This window comes from Homo sapiens, chromosome 10 (assembly GCF_000001405.40).
Source record: "Homo sapiens chromosome 10, GRCh38.p14 Primary Assembly".
NCBI lineage: Eukaryota > Metazoa > Chordata > Mammalia > Primates > Hominidae > Homo > Homo sapiens.
The window spans coordinates 79,679,098-79,692,097 of NC_000010.11; the positions used below are offsets into that span (position 1 = coordinate 79,679,098).

A 13,000-nucleotide genomic window follows, 5' to 3' on the forward strand; every position below is an offset into this window, starting at 1 on the left:
ATAGAATATGTGGAGGAATTAAAAATTCAGTTGTAGGGTGGTAAATGAAAACCAAATTTTTCATTCACCACATTAAATGTAAATGGGTATTATACTCAATTTAAGCAGCAAAGTTGCTTTTTTTTTTTTTTTTTTTTTTGAGACAGAGACTCACACTGTCGCCCGGGCTGGAGTACAATGTTGCCATCTCGCTTCACTGCAACCCCTGCCTGCTGGGTTCAAGCCATTCTCCTGCCGCAGCCTCCCGTGTAGCTTCTTAAGATGTGAAGATTTTTAAATTAAGATGACTCTTGGGATGAACCATCTTGTGTTGGTTAAAGACTTTTACTGACATATTTTTAATAATTTTTTTAACTTTTATTTTCAGGTCAATGGCACATGCGTAGGTTTGTTATGTAGGTAAACTAGTGTCACAGGGATTTGTTGTGCAGATTATTTCACCACCCAGCTATTAAGCCTAGTACCCATTAATTGTTTTTCCTGATCTTCTGCTTCCTCCCACCATCCACCCTCCCAGAGGCCCCAGTGTCTGTTGTTTCCCTCTATGTGTTCATGTGTTCTCATAATTTAGCTCCCATTTGTAAATGAGAACATGCAGTATTTGGTTTTCTGTTCCTGCATTAGTTTGTTAAGGATAAAGACCTCCATCCAGCTCCATCCATGTTCCTGCAAAGGACTTGATCTCACTCTCTTTTATGGCTGCCTAACATTCCATGGTGTATATGAACCACAAAATAAAGATGGTTCTTAACTTTTAAATTAAGATTTTTAAATTAAGATGAATCTTGATTTTTAAATTAGTATGGTTTTAAGATAGTTTTACAGATAGATTAGATAATCTATCTAGAGATAGACAGGGAGAGATATCTATCAATACATATCTCTATCTAGATATAGATAGATGGTTTTCTATATAGACCTATCTATCTATATATGTATACATCTATATATGTCTACACATATCTCTATACACATATATATATTTATATCTACATCTATATTTCTACATGTATATAGGTATGTATATATCTACATGTATATATGTATATAGATAGATATATACATAGGTATCTGTATATATGCATATACATGCCTATCTTTATCTACATGTATATAGATATCATATACACACATAGATATATATATATATCGGCATGTAGATATTTATGTAGATATACATATATAGATATCTGCATATATACATTTGTATATATAGACATAGATATAAATATTAATATATCTATATATGTATATAAATACATATACATATCTGTATCTGTAGAAGATATCTACTATCTTCTATCTATATATCTATCTATAGAACCATCTTAATTTAAAAACCTTTCATATATGCATATAAAAGGTAATCAAACACAAGCCAAATGAAAATTTGTTTAGCTATGTTAATATCAGACAAAAGAGATTTTAAGGCAGAAATTATTACTTGAAAGGAAGATGTATCCATCATCCATATAAAAGAATCAACTATTGAGGAAGTTGTCAAACTTGTGTATGTATATTCACTCACACACAGTTAACACACATTTACAATTTTTATAGAACTAAAAGGAGCAATAGCCGCGTCTTCAATCATAAAGACTTTAATATACCTTTTTCAATAACTGATAGCAAAAAGGATACAAAATATCAATAATAATAGAAAAATTTAAAGCAGTAGGATTAAATACTTTGATATAAAAACTGCACCCAAAAATAGCAAAACACACAATTTATTATAATGTATTTGGAACGTGTTTCAAAATTTACCATAGCTATCTATAGATATCTCTGTCTATCTAGGTAGATAGATAATAGATAGGTAGGTAGGTAGATAGATAGATAGATAGATAGATAGATAGATAGATAGATAGATAGGTTAGATAGACAGATATAGGCTGAGGTTAGGCCCAAAACAAGAATCAATAAATACCAAAAATTTGAAATCCTTGACAGTGTTTTTTGTACAACAATGTTATTAAGCTGCAAATCTATAGCAAGACTTTGAAAGTGACCAAATGTTTAGAAATTAAGCATCACATTTCTAAGTTATTCATGGATCGAAAAAGTAATTACAGTGAATATTAAAATATATTTTGAATTTAATAAAAACGAAAGTAAAAATACTGCTTGTTAAAAGATGGGAGGCTTAGGCAAACCTCAGCTTGGAGATAAATGCATATGCTTACATAAATATGTTTAAAAAATTAAAGCTTGAAAATTAATAATCTAATTGTCAATTTCAAAAATTTAAAATGTGATGTCAAATTAAATCCAAAGAATTAGAAAAGAGAAGATACATAAGAAGCATGAGAAAAGGAAACAATCATAAAATAAATGAAATCAGCAAAAGCCAAAGTTACTTTGAAAAGACTGATAAAAATATACCATGATTATGCATGAAATTTAAAAAAAAGAGTATCCACAAATTCTAAATATCATGAATAATAACAAGGAAATCATTATAGATTCTATAGTCATGGGAGAGAAAAAGAGAATGTAATAAGTAACTTTAAGTCAAAAATTTTGAAATAATTTGATGAAATAGATACATTTCTAGAAAATCATTAATAGTGACACAAGAATAAATAGCAAATCCTAATAGCTCTATATCTATTAAAAATAAAATTACAATTAAAGCTTTCCAAATGTAGTGAGTCTAAATCAAATAAAATATTAAAAATCTGAAATGTTTCCAGGAAGAAACATTGAATTCCTAATATAAAATGTAACATATCATATGCAATCCCTTTACTGAAAATTGTGAAATTTTACTGAGAGAAATTAAAGATATTCAACAGAAATAAAGGTGTACTGTGAGTCCTATGTCATTCCTGGTATTAGAAGAAAGATTCAGTATTTTAAATAAATCTATATTTGTAATACACTGAAAATCACAATACTGTGATTAGTAATAGCATAATTTGTCTGCATTATATTTGGTGGCAACTGAAAAACTGACTATAAAATGCAAATAAAAATGCAGTGTATAGATAACTTTGAAGAAAAAATATAATGTGAAGACTTACACTATTAGATATAAAGTTTTTATAAATGTATATTAATTATGACATTATGGAAAAGGTGCAAGTATAGATATTTCAATGAAACAGAATAGAGAGCTCGTAAAGAGAACCACACAATATATTTAGCTGATTTGTGAAAAAAATAGTGCTTCAGTACAATGAGGAAAAGATTCATTTTCAATAAATTGTGCTGTCTTTCATACATCGGTACAGATAAAAATGAATATTAACATCCAACCTCACAACATACACAAAAATTATTTCATATAGAAGCCAATGTGTAACATAAAACAGTACAGTTTTTAAAAAGTAATACAGAGGACACTTCTATGACCTTAAGATTTTAAAAAAGACTCAAAAAGTAACGATTGAAGGCTAATAAATAAGATAAATAAGTTAATAAATAGTAATAAAATAACATAAAAAATAAGGATTTGTAATCATAAAATAACTCACTGAGAGTGAAAAGGCAAGCAACAGAATGGGAAATGAAATTTGCAAACATAAATACAATAAGAACTCTTGATCAAAAGATACTTTTTAAACTCTACAAATGAATTTTTTGAAAAAAAAAATATGGCCAGGTACAGTGGCTCACGCCATTAATCCCAGCACTTTGGGAGGAACACTTGAGCCCGAGAATTTGAGACTTGTCTGGGCAACACAATGAGAGACCTCTGCCTCTACAAAAAATTTAAAAGATTAGCCAGGCATGGTGGCCGTGGCCTGTAGTCCTAGCTACTCCTAAGTAGCTAGGCTCTTTTGAGTCTGGGAGGTCAAGGATGCAGTGAGCTCTGAGCAACTGCTGCACTCCAGCCTGGGTGACAGAGTCAGAACCATCTCCAAAAAAAATTGATGTAGAAGAACTTCTAAGAAGTGAGAGTGGAGACAGAGGCCAAAGATGCTGCTCTAGGCTGCTCCGTGAATTCCAGGACTTCTGAGAAGCACCTTCTGGACAGCGTCTTTACTGCCCTCCAGGACTCAGCTGGTCAGCAATGGCCAGCCAGACTCCATCCCCAGCGTGGAGAGGAGGTAGCTGATCCCAGAGGCGCTCCTAGCAGGCATGTGGAACCCGAGAACAGCTCGCCCTGCCAAGGCAATGGAGAGCAGGCCGGCAAGGCAGGAGCTCGGGCTCTGTGTGGCCAGGCAAGGAGGAGCCCCGCAACCATGCCACCACCCCTTACTACAAGAAGCCTCTGTATGGCATCTCCCACAAGGTCATGGAGAAGAAGAACCCTCCCTCGGGGGACCTGCTAAACACGTATGAGCTCTTCCAGAAGGCAAATTCCAGCAACAGCCCCTCGCTGCTTAGGCTCCTGAATGAGCCATAGAAGTGGGACTGTGGCAGCACTGGGGCAGCCACCAACAGTGACCCTAACATCTACTTCCTGATCCAGGAGATGTTCTACATGCTCAACACCCTCACGTCCAACAGGTCCCAGCTACACAGCAAAGTGGACCTGCTCTCCCTGAAGGTGAACCCCACTGAGATGGTGGCCAAATTCCAGCCGACCCCCACCACCCCGTAGCAGCTCACGGGCATGGAGCTTAAGCAGATCTTGGACCAGAGCCTGTCAGGCGGGGTCCTGGCCTGCTGCCCGCTGGTGCAGCTCTTCCCCAAGCTCTTCAGCCACAGTCAACTTCTCCCGAGGCTGCAGTGCCTGCAGCTTTGAGGCCAAGCTTAAGCTGGAGTCACTGCACCTGCAGCTCATCCACAACTACATGGAGGTCTACTACCCCTCGGTGAAGGAGAGGGCTGTGTGACAGGCCGAGTGCTTGCCCCAGCTGAATAAGTTCTTCAGCCACTTCTGGGCCCAGCGGGAGATGGAGAACAGCCAGCCCGGTGGCCAGGCTGCCAGCTTGAGGCTGAGCAGTGGACCCCGGCCACTTCCTGGACCACAAAGACGAGGAGGAGGGCCTGTCTCTGGACTGGAGCAGCACCATCGCCTCAGACCACGTGGTGGACATGTAGGCCCTCACTTAGTTCCTGCATGAAGCCTCTTCACAGGCGAGTTTGCCGTCTTCCTCCTCCACTGGCTCTTCCCTGAGCTCTTCCACTACCGCAAGCTGGGCGAGCAGGACAGCTGCTACGGGGACGGCGGCAAGCAGGAGCTGGACCCGCAGAGGCTGCAGATCATCTGCAACTTCACGGAGGTCTACTTCCCCCACATGCAGGAGGAGGAGGCCTGGCGGCAAGCAGGACCTGGACCCGCAGAGGCTGCAGATCATCTGCAACTTCACGGAGGTCTACTTCCCCCACATGCAGGAGGAGGAGGCCTGGCTGCAGCGGTGCGCCCAGTGCATCAACGACAAGCTTCAGGGCCTGGGGCTGGACGCAGGCAGCGAAGGCGAGCCCCCCACGCGACAACTGCTACAACTCCTCCAGCCTGCCCGATGACATCTCAGTAATCAGGGTGGAGGATAGCTTCAAGGGCGAGCGGTGCCGCTCCAAGAAGATCTGACTGGTACCTATCGACTTGGTCAAATTGGAGATCCCCAGCCCAACTTGGAGGTGCCCGGCGCCGACGGCCTGCTCAGCAACGAGCATCTTCACAGTATCTACGAGAGCAGCCTGTCCATCGGCAACTTCACCTCGCGCCTGCTGGTGCCCCTATTCCCCAAGCTCTTCACCCATGACAACCTGCACAAGCAGCACAGCTGCAGCGACTCCCTGGGCAAGAAGCAGCTGGACCCGTCCTGCATCAAGCTCATTCGCCACTAAGTGCACCTGCTCTACCTCTGCACCAAAAACAATCGCGTCTGGACCCTTGAGTTCATGGGCAACCTGCACTGGAACAGGAACAGAGGCGCTCCTACCAGCAGCAGTGCAAGGTCCACGTGCTGGCCCCGAGTGTAAAGACATGAGGAGCTATGCAATCAATCCTGAGAGGTTCAGAGAGGAGTCTGAGGGTCCCCCGCTGCCCCCGAGAGGAGCAGCAAGGACTTCTGCAAGATCCCCTTGGATGAGGTGGTGGTCCCTCACTGAGCTTCCCGGTGCGCTCTCCCTACCTGCTGTCCGACAAGGAGGTGTGCAAGATCGTGCAGCAGAGCCTCTCCGTGGGCAACTTTGCCGCGGGGCTCCTCCACCGCCGAGAACCTCCAGCTGCAGTACAACAATTTTCGGGCTTGCAACAAGAAGCAGCTGGACCCTACGCAGCTGCGGCTCATCTGCCACTAGGTGGAAGCCGTCTACCCCGTGGAGAAGGTGGAGGAGGTGTGGCACTGCGAATGTATCCCCAGCAACGACGAGCAGTGCCACTGCCCTAACAGGAAAAAATGCAACATCCTCAAGAAAGCCAAGAAAGTGGAGAAGTGAAGGCCCGTGGCCTGCCCAGAGACTCGGGGTCACCAGAGACTGAGCTTAGGAGCATGCCTATGGCATCCACAGACAGGCACCTTATGTCTGTGGGGTGTGGCTTACTACACTTGCACATGTAAACACCCAACCAACCACAAGAAAGAAGACTTGAGTTTGGTCTCTTGTCCTCTAGACTTCTGTCCTGTGTTCCCTGGTGGTGCAGCCTGAGTGTGGGGAGCGCAAGCTGTGAGAGCAGGGACTAGTGGGTAGGGGTCCTCTCTACCTGGTCGTGTCCTCCCCAGCCCCTCACAATTTCAAATGCAAACTCAGCAGCTCTCTTGCTCCTCTTCCCATATTTTACAGCTTTCATTTTTATCCAGTTTTTTTAAAATGAAAAATAAACCCTTAAAAAAATCATTGGGCTCTTTGGGGGCCATTTTACTTAGAAAAAAATCTTTTTAAAAGTGCCATCTTCAGGCCAGGCACGGTGGCTCATGCCTGTAATCCCAGCACTTTGGGAGGCCAAGGCAGGTGGATTACCTGAGGTCAGGAGTTCAGGACCAGCCTGGCCAACGGTGAAACCCCATCTCTACTTAAAAAAAAAAGAAGCAAAAATTAGCCAGGCGTAGTGGTGGGTGCCTGTAATCCCAGCTAGTCAGGAGGCCGACAGGAGAATCACTTGAACTCGGAAGGCAGAGGTTGCAGTGAGCCAACATAGCGCCACTGCGCTCCAGCCTGGGCGAAAAGAGCAAAACTCCGTCTCAAAATAAATAATAAATAAATAAATAAGTAAATAAAAGTGCCATGTTCGTGTACAATGCCTAATCATAGCTTCAGGTGACATGGATACTGATTTTACTGACCTTGTCTTTTACATCTGATTCTGGAAGAGTCAAGAGGCCTCTTGGATGGCAGTAGAGGGGATGGAACAGTGTGAAGTCCTTTGCGACCATGTGCAAGTTTTCCCTTCTGCTCCAGTGCCTCAGAAGGCTTCCATTCAGCTTGGCCTGTCCATCAGGCACGTGGGTAAAATGTTGTGCTCACTGTGTAGAGGAGAACACTCGATGATGATGAAGAATGTAGAAAGCCATGGAAACATGTCCGCAGTGTCTTCATTTGAGCTGTGTCCTTCCACTGTCCCCATTCCCTCTCCACACATGGTTGCTTGTCAGAGATTCTGGGTTCTGGGAGCTGTGTGGTGACTTCCCCAAACCTCAGTGTTAGCTCCTCCAGGCAGCACCACATCCTCGTTCCCCAGGGCGGTCCATGTCTGGGCCCCTCTTGGGGATACCAGGCATTGGAAGGACACAGGTCATCTCAGATGGGGCACCCATGTCCCTTCCCAGGGTCCACTCAGAACTTTCCCCTTGGACCCCCTAGAAAGTCCTGCTGTCCTCCACCTGGCTACCTCTTGGCTTTGGGAGACACATGTCTTCTCTCCCCACTGACTGAGAATGTCAGACTCCCGCCGGCCAGCTGCATGCTTTCCAGGAGCACCAACCAGGAAATTCCCTGACAGGTAAAATCTTTAAAAATGACACTTTTACCTACCTAACTTTGGGGGCCAAATGCCTAAGAGGGAAAGGAAACAGTCTAACCAGGGTCCAGGAAAATTAATTGAATCCCATGGGGTAGACATAAAACCCCTGTGGGAATATTACAGGTTCAATAACCTAATGGCTTAGTATTTTGCTACTTTAAAATGCAGAGATAACAGAAACAATCTGAATATTCTTCACATAGCTGGTAAGGACTTCAGTTCCAGTGGCCATATGACATAATTTTGCCTGTACCCAGAGGCATTTTTAAAAATATAATATCAGATTTTAAGCAATGTAAAGTTGCTAATCTAACTTGTAAATTTGCTCGTGTCATTTACAGATTATTTCTGTTGAAACTGCAAACCTGAATTGCTGAAATCTAGAAAGGCACAGGGACTTACTCTGTCACACACAGCTACTCGTGCACACACACACTGCTTACTAAAAGCTGAGGTGAGAGGAAGGGGGCCTACATGAATAACAAGTTCAACTTCTTTGTGCCTGGAAAGAAGGGACTAGCGCAGCCAGGAGACTCACTTTACCTCATTGCTTGGGCCCTTCTCTATGCCTTAGTCTCTCCAGCACATGCACACAGCATGCACACACAGGCTCCCTACCCAAAGACAGCTGTGGCCTTCTCTCCACCTGGCCGCTGGTTGTTGGGGCTGAGGGGTCCCATGAAATTTGTTCTGGTTTCTATGATGTAAACAAGAAGACTCTAAGCCCTGAATTGCCCTGCTTTCTAGAGGGTGAAATGTTGACCCTGCAACTTTAGAACCACAATTATTAATAACTCTTTTGAAATTCCCATCTACCCATGTCAGAGAAGTTCAACAAGTTCTAGGAATTAAATATGTCTGTTTGTAACCTAGAGCATGCTCAATTTTTGGAAACCATATTTCAGTGATGATTTTCTTAACACCTTTCACGTGTAGGGCTTCTTGCCTCAAAATGTTACAGTCCCTTTCTGTGAAGAGAAATGGACACATCCTGGGAACTATTCCTGTCCCTCTGGACTGTCGTCAGGAAACGACTGCAGGTCCTGTGCCCTGTCTATATCATGTCCTCACTTCTCCATCCATACAGGTGGCTCCAGTGGGCATTTTTTTATTTTAAACTTTTTACACGAAGGAAGAGAAGTAGAAAATACTGATTTTTTTCAAAATTTAATGTGTTCCATGAAATCTACTGGCAATCCCTTTCCTTCCCCCTGTCTAAATTCTTTGGTTTTTACTTGTTTGTTTTTTTTTGTCTTGTATCCCAAGGACTAAAAAATTAGCAGACACGTTTTGATGTTGACTGAACTAGTAAGTCACAGTAGGTGGTAGGGTTCATTGGTTTCTCTGTTAGTAAGTTTTTAAAGAATGAAGATAGTTATGAATGTACTGAGTGGCCGTTTAATTGGTAAGGGTCGCTGACCCAAAAACACTAGAGCATGGCCACGTGGTTTCCTGTAGAGACGGCCTCAGTTTCCAACATTTTCCCCAAATGTTTGCTTCTCACCCAATAGAGGGAGGATCTTGAGACTCCCAAGTGGTGGTGAGCTTGCACCCTGCCTCACTGTGTAGACAGACTGTATGGATATATGAAGTGGGGGTGGGGGCCAAGGGGCTATTACTGCTGTTTGGAAATATTTGCCTCTTGTAGATCCAGCCTTAATGGTTTTGTGACATCCTAGTACTAGCAAACCCTGCACAAAGTGGGTATCAGAGTTAATACTGTGAGGAGACAAAGTAGTGAGAATAGTTTTGCTAAAGATAATGAAGTGTCACATAATGTCTGCATTTTACCATTGATTTGAGTGCATCCTTAGAAAAACTTAATGTAATGAAAAACCCAGGACATTTTTGGAAATCGTATGCTCTCTAGCAACTTTGTGTGAATTTTTATACAAACACTGTTTTATGAGTTACATAAAATGTTATAAAAATAGAAAAAAAGAGGAAATTATCCTATACTCTCCTGGTAGAAGCACAGACCACACACTCACAGCTCTAGAGTGGACGCACAGCCACCACATTTCCTGAATAAATTCACACTCTTCAGATTACACAAACTCAAACATGCAGATGCTTGAATAACACACCCACGATATACTCACAGATCCAAATACACACATGGCCGTATACTCCCAAATACAAACATACACAAGCCTCCATCTTGAAAACTATAAATATTCTGTCCATATCCTCAGGTTACATACATGTAGTGGTAACACCCAAATACACCCAGCCATCTCTCTGCCTCCAAATTCTTCACACCAAAAATGTACATCTAAATTCTCATCTAGACACCGTAAGCATAAAGTCCTCTACTCTGAATACACACAAATCCAAAACACAAAGCATTAAAACATAGAACATTACCTGCCTTTTCAAATGTATGCACACATATTCACAATATCTCACAGTACCGTCAAAATACACAAAACCACCCCCAGCATGCAAATACACACACACCATTCAAATAGGAACACATAACTATCCAGTACCCTCAGAATAAACCCAAAACCCACTATGCTTCTGTAATATACTAAAAACTCACCCATATTCCCCTAAAAACACATTTCTGACACCACTGAATACTTAACCTACCTACATAAATATATATCTTAAATATATAACACATATACATGACACAGAATACAAATACCCAAAACAGATACAAATCCCCAAAATGTGTTAGTATAAAAATATCCCACACCTGCCAATGCCTCGTCACACACCAGCCTTCACACACCTAAACACACTCCCTCATCAACTCCCCATACTCCTTAGTGAAATATAAACACAGCAATGGAACATGTTCTGAATGTATACACAATGGGGCAGATGTATCACTATGAAGAGTATTCATGGTCCTTCTCTGTGGTATCTCTGTCTGAGAGATTATACATCCCTAGTCTGTTTAACTCGAGTATGGCCACATGACTTGTTATGGCAAATGAAATGTGAGCAGAAATGCCATATATGACTCTGAGCAGAAGAAGTCCTTCTAGTCCTGTCCCAAATGAGGCTGCTCCATCCATCTGGATCCAAGACACAGGACCAGTAACTGATCAAAGCCAACCAATGGAGGACACATAACATACATGAGAAACCTACCTTGTTGGAAGTCACTGAGATGCAGAATTATTTTCTTACATCAGATAATCTGAGATATTTTGATGGATGCATACCCCACCCTCAAAAACAGAGAAATACCACACTGCACACACACACACATACACGTCCTCTCAAAACTCCCCAAATATGCATCCTCAATCATCTACAGTTAGAAATACACATCTACAACCTTCCATGATCCAAATAAATGCACAGACACACCAACTCCCAATCTCCAAATGCATATATTAGACACTCCAACCTTCTCAGGCCAGCTGCATAAAACCTGCAGAAGCTATGAATTCACACATGCCTCATCCCACCAGAATTCAACACATACTTCACATAACCTTACCCTCCTTCAAATACATATACATGCTCCCTACACATACTCTGAATATCCACATAAACTACCCACAGTCCAGAACACATATAATCCAAAAGAATCCTCACATTATACACAAAACTCCAACTCTACCACAAACATATGTGGTGGCTTTCCTCCCTAATACATATACAGCCCCTCAAACTCCCTAAATTCATACATACAAACTCCAACTTTGTATGCACAAAGACACACTACCCTAAACATACAGACCTCCACCTCCTACAATCCTGAACACACAGACACATGCATTTGTCTTACACCCTCAGACTACAAATGAAGAAATGGATTCAAGCTGAACAGAGGCAGACTGTGGTTGATGCAGGCATCAGCCACCTAGATCCCTCCTTGATGAATGACTTGTTTCACCATTTGCTGGGAATACTGTTGGAAGATAGACTTGGCTCTCAGGCCCTCCCAGGGTTGCTTCAGCTATGGAGAGCACCCTTGCTGAGTTCTCTCCACTTTCTGGGGAAGCTTCATATCCAGTGGCTAATCCAAGCAGGTGTAAAGCGGCTGACTAAGGACAGTTCTATTGAGACATTTTAGTCCAACAGCAGCATATGGGGTCAGGTGAGACTGTTTGGGGGCCTGAGTCATAGTTTAACTTCTCCTTCAATGAAACTATGCTCCCTTTTTTCACTTTTTAAAAAGCAAAACATTATACTCATAAATTCTCAGGGACTGAACTAAGGGCACCCAACCCGGGACCACATTCTTTGATTCCTTCTTTCAATGATTATTTTATTGTTTTTTATTTTTTTATTTTTTTTGAGACAGAGTCTCGCTCTGTCACCCAGGCTGGAGCACAGTGGCGCAATCTCGGCTCACTGCAAGCTCCGCCTCCTGGGTTCAAGCCATTCCCCTGCCTCAGCCTCCTGAGTAGCTGGGACTACAGGCACCCACCACCACACCGAGCTAATTTTTTGTATTTTTAGTAGAGACAGGGTTTCACCATGTTAGCCAGGATGGTCTCAATCTCCTGACCTTGTGATCTGCCCACCTCGGCCTCCAAAAGTGCTGGGATTACAGGCATGAGCCACCACACCCGGCCCATTCAATGATTATTTATTAAGCATCAACAAATACAATGATGACTACTCTCTTATGGAGACTATATCCCATGGAAGTAAACAGATAATAAATAAATATACTATGAATACAAACACGTACACACAGTTTCCTGGAGATGTTCAGTCAGCAATTAGATTAAGCAACTGAGGCTCTGTAGAGACAAGTGAGGGGCTAAAAATATAGATTTGAGGGAAAATGCAAAGGAGAGAGTACATTCCCTCATATAAAATTGTTTCTCCTGGTGAGGTTTCCTGCAATTTTGGCACAAGGCATGCATTCGTTTTCAGGTCTATCGGTTATTTACTGTGGTAATACTGTAGATCGGCAGATTACTGCAGAATCCAATGGACTGAAGCCATAAGCATTCACATCAGGCCTCTGAGGGTCAGTGATTTGGCTTGGCTCTGCTGGGTGGTCCTTCTGCTCCAGTCTGTTCCGCCGTTCTTTGTTGCCTCCTTGGTACAGACACTGTAATGGGTGCCCCAGAGGATTCTAAGGTGAATAGGTCAGCTCCCTGTGTCTGAGGTTTAAATCCTGTAGGAGCAGAGGTTTCCAGCATTAATTTTGCTACGAGA

General features: G+C 42.4%; 1 long non-coding RNA gene and 1 pseudogene across 2 annotated transcripts in view, besides 1 other annotated feature; one reads left to right on the forward strand and one right to left on the reverse strand.

Moving 5' to 3' along the window:
• The first annotated feature begins 3,877 nt into the window (after nucleotides 1-3,877).
• BEND3P3 (BEN domain containing 3 pseudogene 3) lies at nucleotides 3,878-9,800 on the forward strand (annotated as a pseudogene). The gene has a single exon (NR_027512.1). The product of NR_027512.1 is annotated as a BEN domain containing 3 pseudogene 3 (transcript).
• Nucleotides 4,695-5,622: an enhancer, noted in NCBI's record as "H3K4me1 hESC enhancer chr10:81443548-81444475 (GRCh37/hg19 assembly coordinates)". NCBI's record gives its function as "activates a minimal SCP1, AML or CMV promoter by ChIP-STARR-seq in naive H9 embryonic stem cells {active_cell/tissue: H9 hESC(naive)}" and the evidence as "EXISTENCE:reporter gene assay evidence [ECO:0000049][PMID:30033119]".
• A 2,602-nt stretch (nucleotides 9,801-12,402) lies between the features above and the next one.
• Nucleotides 12,403-13,000, reverse strand: part of NUTM2B-AS1 (NUTM2B antisense RNA 1) — a 135,095-nt gene continuing 134,497 nt past the window's right edge. The window contains exon 7 of the long non-coding RNA NR_120613.1: nucleotides 12,403-12,959. This is a non-coding gene — a long non-coding RNA (NUTM2B antisense RNA 1). The remainder of the gene's footprint in view (nucleotides 12,960-13,000) is intronic.